Consider the following 16,165-nt stretch of genomic DNA (forward strand, 5'->3'; position numbering starts at 1 on the left):
TAGCCCTTACATTTAGGCCTCTGATTTTGTGTTGATTTTTGTGTAAAGTATAAAGTAGAGGTCCATATTCACTTTTTTGCATGTGGATATCCAGTTGTGCAGCACCATTTGTTGAAAAGACTATTCTTTTTTCATTGAATTATCGTGCTATCCCTGTTGAAAATCAGTTAACCATAAGTGTGAGAGTTTATTTCTGGACTTTTAATTCTGTTCCATTGATGTATATTGATGCATATGTATGTCCTTATGCCAGTACCACACTATCTTGATTAATTGTAGCTTCGTAGTAAGCTTTGAAATGTGAGTCCTTTAACTTTGTTCTTTTCAAGATTTTTTTTTTTTGCTATCCTAGATTGATTATATTTCCATATGAATTTTGGAATTAACCTGTCAGTATTTGCAGAAATTCAAACTAGCTGAGATTTTGATAGGGATTGCGTTGAATCTATACATCAATTTGGAGACCATTGCCTTCTTAAAAATGTTAAGTTGTCTAATCTATGACTATGAGATGTCTTTCCATTTATTCAAATCTTCTTTAATATTTTTCAACAATGTTTTGTAGTTGTTAGTGTGTAAGTGTAAAGCTTTTTTTTGAGATGGAGTCTCGCTCTGAGATCTTGGCTCACTGCAACCTCTGCCTCCCAGATTCAAGCGATTCTTCTGCCTCAACCTCCTGAGTAGCTGGGATTATAGGCACCCACCACCACACCTGGCTAACTTTTGTATTTTTAGTAGAGACAGGGTTTCACCATGTTGGCCAGGCTGGTCTTGAACTCCTGACCTCAAGTGATCCACCTGCCTTGGCCTCCCAAAGTTCTGGGATTACAGGCATGAGCCACTGTACCCAGCTGTTAAACTTCTTTTGTTAAAGTTTTTTCTAGTTACTTCGTTCTTTTTGCTGCATAATACTGTAAATGGGATTGCTGCCTTAATTTTTTTTCTAAATTGTTCATTGTTAGCATATAGAAATAGAGTCTTGTGTATTAATCTTGTATCCTTTCACATTGCTGAACTTGTTCAACTTCCCTTTTTGACTGCATATATATTTACAATAATAATCTTTTTTTTTTTAGACGAAGTCTCACTCTGTCACCAGGTTGGAGTGCAGTGGCGCCATCTTGGCTCACTCCAACCTCTGCCTCCTGGGTTCAAGTGATTCTCGTGCCTCAGCCTCCCAATAGCTGGGAGTATAGGTGCATGCCATCACACCCAGCTAATCTTTGTATTTTTAGTAGAGACGGGGTTTCACCATGTTGGCCAGGATGGTCCTGATCTCTTGACCTCGTGATCCACTCGCCTCAGCCTCCCAAAGTGCTGGGATTACAGGCATGAGCCACCACGCCGGGCCTACAATAAGAATCTTAATGTAATTCAGTGATATTTACTTATGGGTTTGTGAAATCAAGAAAAATTATTTGAACAGCTGTGGAATTTAAGGGCATAAAACAATTTGGGCCCCTTGCTCCAGGATTTTATGATCTTTCTCACATGCAGATATGACTGTTTCCACCTATGCATCCTACTTGATCTCTTACCACATCCCTTGCTCTATCCCTTGACCTCCATCTCATCCTTTCACTTTGTGCTTCAACAGATATACTTTGCATTCTGGCATTTCTTTTCAATTGTATGTGCTTTTTCCTTTCCCTGTAACAGATTCCCAGGGTATACTTTCAAATCTCAGATATTCCTGACAGTGATTGCCCCCAGGCAAATATAGGCACACTCTCTGTGTTCCTGTCGTCTTTTTTGTACATGGCTCTGCTGTCGTATTTATACTATATACCAGAATTGTCTCAGTGTCTGTGCACTCTTGGGCATGACTTTGTAAAGCATCTTGGAACCAATTTATTCTTGTCATTTACTATTTGCTTGTAATTGCTTATAACAGTGTGTATTAATCAGGTTTCTCTAGAGAAACAGAGCAAACAGGATATATTTCAGCAAGTCCCAAATCTGTAGGGCATGCTGGCAGGCCAGAAACTCAGGCAGGCATTGATGCTGCAGTCTGGAGACAGAATTTTTTCTCTTTAGGAAACCTGAGTTTTTACTGTTAAGGCCTTTCAGCTGATTGAATGAGGCCCACCCACATTATGGAAGGTAATCTGCTTTACTTAAAGTCAACCCGTTATAGATGTTAACCACATGTACACAATATCTTCATAGCAACATCTAAATTAGTGTCTGATTAAATTACTGGATACAGTAGACTAGCTGAATTGACACATAAAACTAAGGATCAGAGTGTAAATTTCTGTAGGAAAGCATCTGTGTCTTTTGTTTCTCTTTACTCCAGGGGATCAAATGCAATGCTACATAATCAATTGATGTTTTACAAATGCTTGCTTGAATGATTGAATGACTTCAACAAGGTTAAGTCCAAAATCCAACTTGACAACTTGAGAGTTATAATTTTGGCAAGATTATTTCTGCTAGCAGGTGTTCTTTATTGTTAGATTTTATTAGCAGGAAATTGTTTCCCCCAATCTCTCTGGCAGCCCAATTATTTTCACTAAATATGCCTATACCTTCTGTTCTGGGTTTATTTCCACCTCAAGGTCACTGATCTATAATCTGCTATTGTCTTTAGCTGACTATCCTTCCAACCGTACTTAACTATTAAATAAATGTAGCATTCAAGAGTAACACAATGTAGTTACATTTCCTTCCCACCCTCTTCTGACCCATTTTGATCTTGCAAGCATTGGGGTCTTTCTACAGGAACAGTAATACTAGGTGTTTTGAAACACATTAAAGTCATGGTACTTTAGAGGGGAAAATGCATGGAACCTTACAGTAATGATTTAGTAATATCTATAAGACATGGTAGGGAGGCATAAAGAAGGCAAATATGGAGTAGAGAGGTTTGTTGCTCGTGGTTATAGGTACACCATAATATTTTCTCTTGTGCTTTTATATTCACTACTGGTGATGGTAAAACCAATATAATATGTTGTCTTTAAGGGACAGTGCCTTTTGGGAGATGGGAACAGTGGAGAGGTCATCCCAGTCTGATCTTAAAAGGGCCTACCCCAGAGTGGAAGAGATCCTCCATTTGTCCTGACAACTCTAGAGTAGAGATGTGGACATGTTTTGAGAATAGAGGAGAAAGGAATAGTCTCAGAAACAATACACTTGACAACAAATCCAAAGTATATATAAAAAAAGAAAACACTTTGGCCAGGTGCGGTGGCTCATGCCTGTAATCCCAGCACTTTGGGAGGCCGAGGCTGGTGGATCACGAGGTCAGGAGATCGAGATCATCCTGGCTAAAACGGTGAAACCCCATCTCTACTAAAAACACAAAAAATTAGCCAGGCGTGGTGGCAGGCACGTGTAGTCCCAGCTACTCAGGAGGCTGAGGCAGGAGAATGGCGTGAACCCAGGAGGCGGAGCTTGCAGTGAGCCGAGATGGCACCACTGCACTCCAGCCTGGGCGACAGAGTGAGACTCTGTCTCAAAAAAAAAAAAAAAAAAAGAAAAGAAAACACCTCAATAACTTTAAGGTGTCACCCAGCACAGTGTTTTTAAACTCTTGCCTCTGGATTTCTTCAAGTTTCTGCTAATGTGCTGGCAACATCTTAGTCAACCTTGCATCTATCTCTGCACCCATCCATGTAGTTGTGGTGGTGTTTTGTCTAGACGGCTGTGCCCTTAGCTGATCTCCCTGAAAAGACTTCGCTAGATTTGGCTACTGCAGCACTACAGCTGCTAAATTAAGATAAACTCTTAACATTCCTGACCCAGAATTACTGTATCCCCTTGCTAAGTCTTCTGTGTGAAGTGGCACCACGTTGCTAATTCTGTAGTTCCCAGTTGTTGTCAAATGCTCAGTGAACTCTTGACAACCATCTCAGACTTTAAAATATTTAAGCATCACCCCGATTACATTGCTAAGAGGTGCTGAATGTTTTAAATAAAGCTTACCTAAACAGTCTTGTCTCATTCCGGTTTCCCCTCACAGAGGAAGTGTCTTTCAATAACCCAAAACTACTGGCTTCTAATTTTAGGGATAACTAAGGTGGGACTAGGACAGAAAATAAGCTCTTCTCCATTGATTTTCCTTAGTCATTTTACTCCAGAGGCCTATAATTAGCTCTATTTTCTCCACCTGTGGTACATCTTTAGGTTAAAATGATGTTGGAGAAATAGTGGAGGATGTGCAGAGTTAGAAATTAGGGAGTGTACTTGGTCTCACTTTTGCATACTTAGATGAATGGCACTGGGGAAGAAGAGAAGGGGGACATTATACACCAATCTGTGTCCATTTCCTTTTATTTTTAATGATACTAATAACTCAGGGACACTTATTGATCATCTACTGTTTGCCAGGCACTGTTCTGAGTGTTTTACTTGTATTAACTCATTTAATCCTCACAGTACAAAAGCCCTGTGAGGTAGGTACTGACACTATCCCTATTTCAGAGTTGAGGAAACTGAAAGGGTAATTTATTCAATGTCACGGAGCATGTAAAAGTCAGCACTAGGCTGGGCACCGTGGCTCAGACCTGTAATCCCAGCACTTTGAGCAGCCAAGGCGAGAGAATCACTTGAGGCTAGGAGTTCCAGATAAGCCTGGGCAGCAAAGCGAGACCCCCATCTCTAAAAATATTAAAAATAAAAAATTACCCAGGCGTGGTGGCATGAGCCTGTAACCCCAGCTACTTGGGAGGCTGAGGTGGGAGGATGGCTTGAGCCCAGAAGTTTGAGGCTGCAGTGAGCTATGATTAAGCCACTGCACTCCAGCCTGGGTGATGGAACAAGACTCCATTTTAAAAGAAAGAAAAAAAAAATCAGCACTGGATAGAGTACACACTGTTTGTTGCTCTGCCATTCTGCTGGGACAGATAGCAAGATGAAAACAAAATTTTTTTAAAAAAGAGAAATATAAACGCTGTTGTTTCCCATCTGAAAACTCTAGTTTTACATGGTAGGGATTTTTGACCAACATTTTAGAGGTAGTTCAGCCCTGCAACACTAGGACGAGGGTTCATGGCCTGCAACACTAGCTGGAAAGAAAGAGGAAGTTTAGATAATATTAATAAGCTCCACCTAGAAGGATTAAATTCACTTGTGAGTATCACTGGGGTTGCTTACAACAACATTTTAAATACCCAGTAGAGGAGTCAAGTGCTTTCCTTAGTCCTCATTTTGAAATTTCATCAAATAGGGTGCTATTCCACACATAAGGCTTGTGTTTAGCTTATAAGGCCCTCCTCGATCTGCCTCTTCTTCTCCCTCATTATGCAATGACATAGAAATTCTTGCTTTTCCTACCTCCCATGTTTTATTCCTCCTACCTGGAATGCTGTTCTTTATGCCTCTCAGTGCAACCAATTTTCTGGTAAATCCTTCTTTTTTTTTTTTTTTTTTTTTTTTTTTTTTGAGACAGGGTCTCACTCTTGCCCACATTGGCCCAGGTGATCCTCCCACCTCAGCCTCCTGGGTAGCTGGGACTATAGGTGCTCATAACCATGCCTAGCTAATTTTTGTATTTTTTGTAGAAACAGGGTTTCACATATTGCCCAGGCTGGTCTTGAACTCTTGGCTCAAGCGATCCTCCCACCTTGGCCTCCCAAGGTGCTGGGATTATAGGCATGTGTCACTGTGTCCACATATATATATATATATATATATGGATATATATATATAAATACACATATATGTGTATATATATATACATATATGTGTGTATTATATATATACACACATATGTATATAAAGACACAGTTCAAGGGTCAAGTCTTTTACAAAGCTTTTTCTTAGATGAACTTCATCTCTCTCCCTGTTAATGGATCACTTCCTCCTATGTGACAGCAGCATATATACTTTTATATTAGCATCTCTAATATTTTATTGCAATATTTGTACATGGACCACAATGTGTGTTACCCGTCGTCCATAAAATAGGCACAAAAATTGAAGGTAAGCATTTAGACCTTGTATAGCAATTTAACAAAGTAATTTTATGACTCTGGAATCTAATAATAAAAATTGGAGATTGCATTTTTATATCTTAATTTTTATTTTTTTTTCTAGTTTTAAACAAATTTTTATGAAAGTATCCATCGTGAAGGATTTACATTTGAAAAAACTGGTCCTTTATTACAGATAGTTTGGGAAGCACTATTTATTATTTTTTCTTATCTGTCCTCTGTGCTAGGCTGTAAGTACCTAAGGGCAAAGTCCCTCTTGTATGAACAGTATTTTTGTATCAACAGTAATGAATTTGTTGTTCAGAACAATGACACTGTGACTCTCATAAAACCATTTTCATACCTATCACTTGTCCCTTTTTAAAGACTGAATTCTACTGTGTTTTATCCCTCAGTCATTGTACTTATCATTATCATACTGTAATTAACGGTTTATGGTTCTGTTTTTCCCACAAAACCTTAAGGATAGTTGAACCCGGCTCTTAATCACTTTTCCCTTCCAAATTCCAACCACAGTGCTTGGTATAAAATCAATGCTCAGTAAGTGTCATTGATTGAATGAACAAATGAATGGATTCTAGCTGCTTATCTGTTCCTTTTTGTTTTTAGTGACCTGATTATGGCTTGATTCATAAATTCACAGCTTATGGGTGTAAAATAGATCTAGAAGAATTAATTTCTGATGTCTCCCTATATCTACTACTACAATTTAATATTGTCAAGAATTATCTTTTTATGAAGATAATAAAATAATCTTTTTCCGTGTGAACAAAATGGGATTTGCATTTTTGTATGAATTACTTGTACCAATAAAAAGTCCTTGTATCACGTTGCCACTGATTTACGTTACTGTAATTCTGCTGCACAGGTTTGCCTTTCTTTGCAGGTTTGAATTTTGGTGTTTGTTTCTGAGCTGGTCCTCTCTTCCAAAAATAAGGCAGCTAACGGAAAACCCTACAAGTTTCTGTCTAAAAACCATTCCCTCTGATTCATTTACTATATTTTTTTCCGTACTTTTTTTTTTCTAAATATGTTCCCTATTCAGCTGACCTACGTAATTAGGACTTTGAAAAATCCCAGAAGAGCTCTATTTTGTAATTTACATTTGAATTATATATTTCAACAAAGCATCTAACCTTGCTGTGGAAGGATGTTAAGATTGTTTTTGAATATTGTATTTTAGCTTTCTCTGCTTATTGGACAATTGATACTTAAATTTTGTTTTAATCTACTCAGCATTTCAAGTTCTTTTTCTTCTTATATATTTTTGTAAGAAACCTCCATCATGAAATAATTTAGATATTTGAAATGTGAATAATGAAAGTAGAGTCAAATAAAAGTATATTTGCTTTAACTTTAGTAAAGAGGGGAAATATAAAAGTTGCATAAATTTAAAAATTAATCTGGAGATATTCCATGCTAAGGGCTTGTTAAATAAGCAACATGAAGAGCATCAATCAGGTTGGACATTTTTATTGTCAATGTTTAGTTACTTCCAGTGTAGATTAGTGTTTTTTGAAACAGAAGTAGGCAGGGCTAACTGCCATATGAATAATTTACTTTCAGGGAACCAGGAAACATAAAAGTATAAATAGTATTTCTAATGGACTGCCAAATGTTATAATCCAAATAAAAGCATTTCCAGAGGAACCAAAAGAATGGGGGCATTCTATTTGTATGGAATATAATTTGATAAAAAATTATGAGCAGATTGCATTCATAGAGAAATAAAATATGTGTGAGGGGAAAACAGCTAATAAAGAGGAGACAAAAGAGAATAAAAGCAGTGATCCACATTTTGAAGATTTTTAGCTGGAGACACTGAGTGATCATAGCAACCATCTCCAAGGAGACCTGTGGAAATGTGAAAAACGCTGAGGTCACACAGGCGTCCAGAGAAATTCCTTATTGATTAACAACTTCTAGATATGTCTTTCTCTCTTCACCTTCAATGCCTCCAACCTTTCAAACAGCATTTATTAGAAAGATAAAGGAAAACCAAATGTGATTTGCCCTGAAGAGAAAAAGTAACTCTCAGAACAGAAACTCAGCTCAAAACGTTTTGAGCAGCCTTTCACTAACCTTCAAAAGCTATTCAGAAACTTGGATATTAATGAAGTGAGAAGTCTCAAGGATGAAATAGAAGCCTTGGTCATAGGTGGTAGTATTGGTTATTGTTTTACTGAAAAAGAGGCAAGTTTAAATTCTAGGGCTTGGAAGCAAAATGCTCAGAAATGGTGTCTTTTCTTTTCTTTTCTTTTTTTTTTTTTTTTTTGAGATGGGGTCTCACTCTGTCACTCAGGCTGGAGTGCAGTGGTGTGATCATGGCTCATTGCAACCTCTGCCTCCCAGGCTAGAGCGATCCTCCCACCTCACCCTCTCGAGTAGCTGGGACCACAAGGCATGTGCCACCATGCCTGCCTGATTTTTCTAGAAATGAGGTTTCACCATGTTGCCCAGGCTGGTCTCAAATTCCTGAGCTCTAGGGATCTGCCCACCTTGACCTCCCAAAGTGCTGGGATTACAGGCATGAGCCACCATGCCCAGCCTGAAAGGTTGTTTTATAATTCCTTCATTACAAATCAGGCAGATCCCCACCAGTTTGAGACACCTTTAGGTGGGTGATGAGAAACTGTGTGCCATCTTTGAGGAGCATGATTTCCTTAGTTCATTCAGTTAGTAAACATTTATTACTTGTCTGCAGCAGCTCAGCCAGCTCTATACCAGACGCTGGGAAAACAAATGTCATCCGTGGTCTTGAGATGCTAAAAGTTTAAAGGGGAGATGGACAAAATAACTAAAACTGAAAGCAGTAATTACATACTGTAGGAAATGTGTGCAGAGTGTTCTAAGCATAGAGGGGCTGGAGGGAAATGACGGGGAACATTTGAATCAGGAAGAAATTCCAGAGGAAGTTGTGACTATGCTGAAAGCTGAGAAGGGGCATAAGGTGCCTAGGATGATATAAAAGTCATGAGATTTAAGAAAGGTCTGGGAATCGCATGCAGGCCAGTAGACTTAATGAGAAGTAGTTAGGGTGTGAAATGTGACAAAAATTAAGTACTCTTCTGCTCCACCCTCTATCCATTTATTTCTCCTTGATTAATTTTGGGGAAGTTGTGGTTTGGATCTGAGAGGAGAGTGTGCCATTTGATCAAAACCACGAGGCCAGATCATTTTCCAGTACCACCAAGGATCATTTGGCATGGGCTGCTGATTTCTGCTGTGGTCTCACCTTGCTCAGCAAGGTCAGATTGCATATAGATTTCATGTGTTCACTTTAAGGAATCTCACTTGTGAGATTTAGTCATATTGCAAGCTTTATATCTACCCCATGGGATATAACATATGGGATATGCTATTTAATGGCAGTTATGCAGATTAAATGAGCAAATATATGTACAACACTAATAATAAATACTGCCTGATACATAGTAAACACCGTATAAAGCGTTATTATTGTTATGATGAGTAATTATTATTCATCTGGGATTCTCCTGAGTCGTCGGAACCCCTGGGCTGTCCTTTGGACCTGGAGCCTGAGCAGAACTGGAAAAGACTCCCAGAAAGACCTAGGGCTCTCTAAGACAGTATGGTCCATTAGAGGTATGGATGCCTGGGTCTTGGCTAGAGTCCAGGGTGGAAAATATAGGTCAGTTCACTGAAAAGTTCATTTTTATTGTGAGTGTGTTGGGAGCAATGTGAGTCAACAGCACTGCGCAGTTGCTCCTTTTGAATTTGCTACCATAATTTTTGGAAGGGACTGCATGGGCTTCACAGCAGCGAAGGCCCTGGGTTTTACTACTATAAAATAAGTCATCATCTAGGATGTGAAAGAGCTTGCTTTCTGTTTTGTTTTAAAAGGATATATTATAGCTGATAGTGCAAATCTACTCTTAAGAATTTCTAATTACTATTTGAATATGGTCTCTATTTCAGAACCTGCTTAGGCCCAAATTTGAAAACAGTTTATAATGAACCTGCTTTCTGTAATTCTTGTACACACCAATTTCCCACCCTGCTTTCTGTAATTCTTGTACACACCAATTTCCCACGCTAGCTGTGAGAAGTTCATGGGATGATGTGTCTGTGTTGTTTATCCTACAGAAAACCGTGAATAAATGGCTGTTATTTTTGCTATTCTCGTCTTGCTGATTTCCTATGCTAGTGGCTAGCACAAATGCAAGATTATATTGTGCCATACTCACTGGAAGTTTGGTGGCTACAAGATTTCCCTAGCACATGGCCTTAGTCTGAGCAAACTGTAGCAACAACTATAGGATGCCCAATTGGTTCACATTTTAAAATTGGGTGTGGACAAAATCAGTCATAGTAAAACTGCGTAAAGAATGCAGATTGCTCAAAGCTATGTCCTTGAGCAATAAAAAGCCGCTTTTTATGAGGAAATTACACTGTCGTTGTGCAAGAATAATATTGTGCTGGACAAAGTGCTAAATTCTTTTTTTAATCATCACAACCCCTCCTCCCCCCATTACCCTGTTTTAGAGATGAGAAAACGGAAACCCAGTGAAGTTAAGCAACTCATTCAAGGTCACCCAGCTAAGAAGACTAATGAGAGCCTTGATTTGAACCTGGAAGTGTCTGACTTCAGGGTTCATGAACTAAGCCTTTTATGCTCTATTGCTTTCTCTCTTTTTTTAAGACAAGCCTCACTCTGTCACCCAGGTTGGAGTGCAGTAGTGCAGTCATGGTTCACTGCAGCCTCTGCCTCCCAGGCTCAAGTGACCCTCCCACATCAGTCTCCTGAGTAGCTGGAACTACAGTCATGTGCCACCATGCCCAGTTAATTTGTGTATTTTTTGTAGAGATGAAGTTTTACCATGTTGCCCCAGCTGGTCTCGAATCCCTGGGCTCAAGCAATCTGCCTACCTCGGTCTCCTAAAGTGCTGGGATTACAGGCGTGAGCCGTTGCACCAGCCAGTGCTCTATTGCTTTGTTTGCACTATCTAGGCCATTTGTTCATCCATTTATTCATTTATTCCATAAATATTTATTGTATATGCCGAGTACTCTTCTAGGCCTGGAAATACTGTGGTGAACAAGAATGTCAAAGACTCCACAGTTAGGGAGTTTGCATTCTAATGGGAGAGACTTAAAATAAACAAGGAAATGAGTGCATGAGTGTGAGTCAGTGTGTATGTATATATTCTTTGGGGAGTGACGTGTGCTATAAAGACAAATGAAGTTCAGAGAAGAGGTATGTTAGTTATTTCGTATTTTGGTTTTTTTGGGGAGGGGTGTTTTTTGTGTTTTTGTTTGTTTAGTTGGTTTTTAGAGACAGGATCTTGCTCTGTGGTGCAGGCTGGAGTGCAGTGGTGTAATCTCAGCTCACTGCAACCTCCGCCTCACGGATTGGAGTGATTCTCCCACCTCAGTCTCCTGGGACTGGAAGCTGGGACTACAGGCACACACCACTATGCCTGGCTACTTTCTGTATTTTTTGTAGAGACAGGGTTTCGCCATGTTGCCCAGGCTGATCTGGAACTCCTGGGCTCAAGTGATCCACCTGCCTTGGCCTCCCAAGGTGCTGTGATTACAGGTGTGAGCCACCATGCCTAGCCAATATTTTAATCGTTTTAACTTAACATTTAATATATATTTGTATATTAATGATCCACCTGCCTTGGCCTACCAAAGTGCTGGGATTACAGGTGTAAGCCACTGTGCCTGGCCAATATTTTAATTGTTTTAACTTAACATTACATATATATATATATATATATATACACATACACACACACACAACTATGTTTGAAAATTATAAAGGATAACAGTGTCATATGTATGACTTACCACCTAATCTACAAACAAAAGCCCTGCCAATTCTGTCGCACTTATCTGTGCTCTGCCCCATCCCATATACCTGCCTATCTTTTGAAGCAACTACTTCCTAATTTTTTTCTTTCTCTTGCCTTTTTTTAAAAAATGTTATTTATCCCTTAAAAATATGCTCATAAGTACTATACAGCTAATTTTGCTTGTTTGTTTTGATTTGTAAAAATAGTATAACTGTTTGACATTGTTGCATGTAGCTGTAGTTCATTCATTTTAAAAGCTGAATTATGTGTTGTTGGGTGAGTATGCAGAATCAATTGATTCATTGCCCTGTTGGTGGATATTTGGATTGTTTCCAGCTTTCTGCTATTTGAACAATGTTGCTGAACATTTTCATGTGTTCCTATTAACACACATATACAGGAGTTTCTCCATGGCCTATTGCTGGGAGTGGAATTGCATGGTTATTGGGTATGTCAGTGTTCAAGTTCACATGATACGACTGCATTGTTTTCCGAAGGAGCATCACCAGTTTACATTCCCACTCATAAGTGATTAAGAGCTCCAGCAGACCCACTTTTTATCAGCACGTGGTATTATAAAACATCTTAATTTTTGCCAGTCTGGTGGGTATAACATTGCATTGTGGTCTTCATTGACATTTCCTGATAACTATTGAGATATAGCCTCTGAAGAGGTGACTTGAGCAGAAACCTGAATGAAGTGAACGACCAAACCATGAATGACTGATGGGTGGAATGTTCCAAGGCAACAAAACACAGGCTGAAATTATCCTGAGATGTCCATGGAGTAGCAAGAGAGTCCTTGTGAATAAAGAGAAGTGAGCTGGAGATACAAGGTTGGGAAGGAGTGGAGAGGCTAGTTCTCCTAGAACCTGGGATGCCATGGTAAATACTGTACTTTAGACTTGATATGAGAGTATGAGAAGACATGACAAGGCGATTAGAAGGGAGGAATGTGATTTGATTAATGTTTTTAAAATATGTTGGCTTCTATGTGATTGGATTATAGGGGATGATGAGAATGAGACCCTAGAGATGAGTTGGATATGCAGAAGTTAAGGCAAGAGATAGTTCTGGCTTCTGTCAGTGTTGGTGAAGAAGGTGGTGAGAAGCTAGATTCAGGACATAGTTTGAAGGTAGGCTGGTGAGTGAGACCTGTAAATGGTTTGGATGGAGGTGTGAAAAAGGGAGGAATTAAGGATAATATCCTGGTTTGGGAGTGAATAACAGAGAATGTAGATCCATTGACGAAATGGGAAAGACCTTGAAAAGAAGAGTAGGGTTGGGGAGAAAATGAAAAGTTTTTTTAATATGGAGAATATATATTCATTGTATTTGTAGCTACCTACTTGACATGTCATCTGTTGATGTTTCAAAAGTACCTTCAATTAAACATGTACAAAACTGAACAAATGCTTTTTTGTCCCACCCTTGAACTTCTTCCTTATCTCAGTGAGTGGTGGCCCATCCATCTGGTTCGACAAGCCAGAAATCTGGTAGTCATCTTTAATATCTCCCCCTAGCTTGTCACCAGTACCACTCCATTACCACCACCTGACAGTTTACTTCTAAAATATCTCTAGAATGTGTTCATTTATTTCCATCTCCATCGTGATCACTCTAATGCCAGCTACGTTACCACCAGTTTGCACCTTGAGTGCTGTCGTAATCTCCTAACTGCATTTGTTCTAATCTTTCAATAATCCATTGTCGACTCTGCAGCTGGCTCACTTTGAACCTCCAAGTTCAAAACCCTTCAAGACTTCTTTATTGCCTTTATGAGTAATCCACGATATGACCTGAATGACCAGGTTCCTGCCCATATCTCTAGTGCCATCTCTAGCTATTTTCTTCTCTCTGGGCATCTCTTTGTTTCTTGAAGGCACAAATTCATTTCCCTTCCTGGGCGTTTGCACAGGCTGAACCTGGAATACAACTCTAAGTAACATCATCCTTTAGATTTTAGCTCAAATGATACTTCCTTGGAAAAGCCACTCACAACCCCTGCTCCCCTAACGTGTACACGTACATATGCTCCCACGCCTGCCACAACTAAGGATTATCTGTTATATGTTCTTAAAGAATATAATTTCAAGGATTGCTTAAGCCCAGGAGTCTGAGGCTGCAGTGATCTGTGATCATGCCTGGTACGTAGAGAACATTTAATGAAGATTTGTTGAATAAATCAGTTGGGGAACAAGGGATTGCTCAAATATCTGAATTGATTTTATAGGCCTTTCTAAGAGAAATACTTTTGGTTATGATAGATAAACTCTTCAAAAAAAACTTGCTGGAAAGAGTCTTAGTTCCATTTTATATTTCCTTAGCCATCACAACTCTGCATCCACTATTTATTGTGAAGGAAATCAAGATAGGTGATTTCTTTCTTTTTTTTTTTTTTGAGACTGAGTCTCACCTCTGTCGCTCAGGCTGGAGTGCAGTGGTGTGATCTTGGCTCACTACAGCTTCTCCCTGCCGGCTTCCAGTGATTCTCTTGCATCAGCCTCCCAAGTAGCTGAGGTTACAGGCGCCCACCACCACACCGGGCTTATTTTTGTATTTTTATTAGAGACGGGGTCTTGCCATATTGGCCAGGCTGGTCTTGTAATCCTGACCTCAAGTGATCCACCCACCTCAGCCTCCCAAACTGCTGGGATTACAGGCATGAGCTACTGCACCTGGCCCAAGATACATGATTTCTAATCTATGGAATTTGATTTCTAATGTAGCTTAAGGAATTTTGGGGCAGGAACTCTAATTCAACTGATGTCCATATGTAAAACAGGATTATTGTAAACAGAAGGCATTTCAGTAGCATTTACAGATTTGCAGACTGTTTTTACATTAGGGATGCCCTGGAGTCAATGAAGTTTCTCTTTACTTAGCATGTTACCTCACAAGTAAAACTTTTCAAGTATTCAGACAGACAAAGTCTTAGTTCTTTACCATGGTAGACTAGGCCTCCATGATCCTACTTCAACCTACTTTTCCAGCATCAGTGCTTGCCACTTCTTGCACCATCCTTCACATTCCAGCCATACCAAATTGCTTGTAGTTGCTCATGTTAGAGCAAGTGCTCCTTGTCTGTGTTCCTGCAATACCCTGCAATATCTTGGGCATTGTTGCATGGGAGGCATCTGTTTGTCTCTCCCAATGAACTGTAAGCTCTTTGAGGGAAGAAACATTGCCATTTCTTTTTCGTATATTCATTTGTACAGAGTCTGGTGCAGAAGGACTCAGTCAATGCTTAATGAATGAAAGATCCAACTTGTGGTCAACCACAAGAGTAGATCTGTTTAATTACTGAAAGGACAAATCCACCCCAAGACTTGCTACTTGCTCCATAACCCACAGGCTAACTAGATAATATGAAAACGTTTGGTAGCATCTTCTCTAGGATATCTGCATTGCGTTTGCAGCTATCCTTCCTGGGAACTCACTGTTGGTACAAAGGAAAAGAATTTTGTCACCTTTCCTACTCACCTACTTAACTCAGAAATCATATGGTGACCAATCCATAAACTAAAATGCTAATCCTATCACTCAGAGGTAAATGCCACTAATATTTTGTAATACCCTACCAGCCTTTTCTTATGTACTTTTATGCATTATTGCCCTAAAGTTGGATCAAACTCTGTCACTTTTTTCATGACATAGTTTCTCTCCCTCTTGCTCCCAGCCTTATAGATAGATTTTATTCATGCTACTATATATTATATTTACAACAACATCATTTTATAACGGCCGTACTTACAACATCTTTTATAAAGGCTTCTAAATATTTTGTTTATACATTAATATGTTACTTTGGCACTTTTTAATTTAAGGGGTGATTAGGATAAGGAAATCAATCTGTTGTAATTTTTTTAACCAGTGGTATCAAAGAATGATTTTATGTGAAAAGTTTGAGATTATAGCTACATCAGTACATAATTAAGATGATATTTAATAGATTACTTATTCTGTCTCTCTAATCAAAATTATCTGCTTCCGAATGCCCATTTTAAGATTCCTTGATAATTTTCTCTCCTATTAGACTAAGCAAGACCCTTTGGTAACAATCTCCTTTAAGTTTCTTCATTTTATACAAGTAGTATACATGATGGTTATCAAAAAACTTGTTAATTTCAGGAGGAAGTCACTTGAGTAAAGGCTACAGATTATACCATTGATTCTTAAGGGACTAAATTAATTAATTGGTAACTTGAACATTGACCACATAAGACATTTATATAACTTGATATGTGAACAAAAAGGTATGAGCTCAGCTGGGCATGGTGGCTCACGCCTGTAATCCCGCACTTTGGGAGGCCGAGGCAGGCGGATCACCTGAGGTCAGGAGTTCGAGACCAGCCTGGCCAACATGGCAAACCCTGTCTCTACTAAAAATACAAAAACTAGCCAGGT

The 16,165-nt window shown here is 39.1% G+C and overlaps 1 protein-coding gene across 4 annotated transcripts in view, besides 1 other annotated feature; it reads left to right on the forward strand.

The window, feature by feature from the left end:
- SRGAP1 (SLIT-ROBO Rho GTPase activating protein 1) overlaps nucleotides 1-16,165 on the forward strand; it is a 317,518-nt gene that overhangs the window by 63,137 nt on the left and 238,216 nt on the right. The window lies entirely within an intron of this gene.
- Nucleotides 11,022-11,810: an enhancer, noted in NCBI's record as "H3K27ac-H3K4me1 hESC enhancer chr12:64312638-64313426 (GRCh37/hg19 assembly coordinates)". NCBI's record gives its function as "activates a minimal SCP1, AML or CMV promoter by ChIP-STARR-seq in naive H9 embryonic stem cells {active_cell/tissue: H9 hESC(naive)}" and the evidence as "EXISTENCE:reporter gene assay evidence [ECO:0000049][PMID:30033119]".

Source organism: Homo sapiens, chromosome 12 (genome assembly GCF_000001405.40).
Source record: "Homo sapiens chromosome 12, GRCh38.p14 Primary Assembly".
NCBI classification, from domain to species: domain Eukaryota; kingdom Metazoa; phylum Chordata; class Mammalia; order Primates; family Hominidae; genus Homo; species Homo sapiens.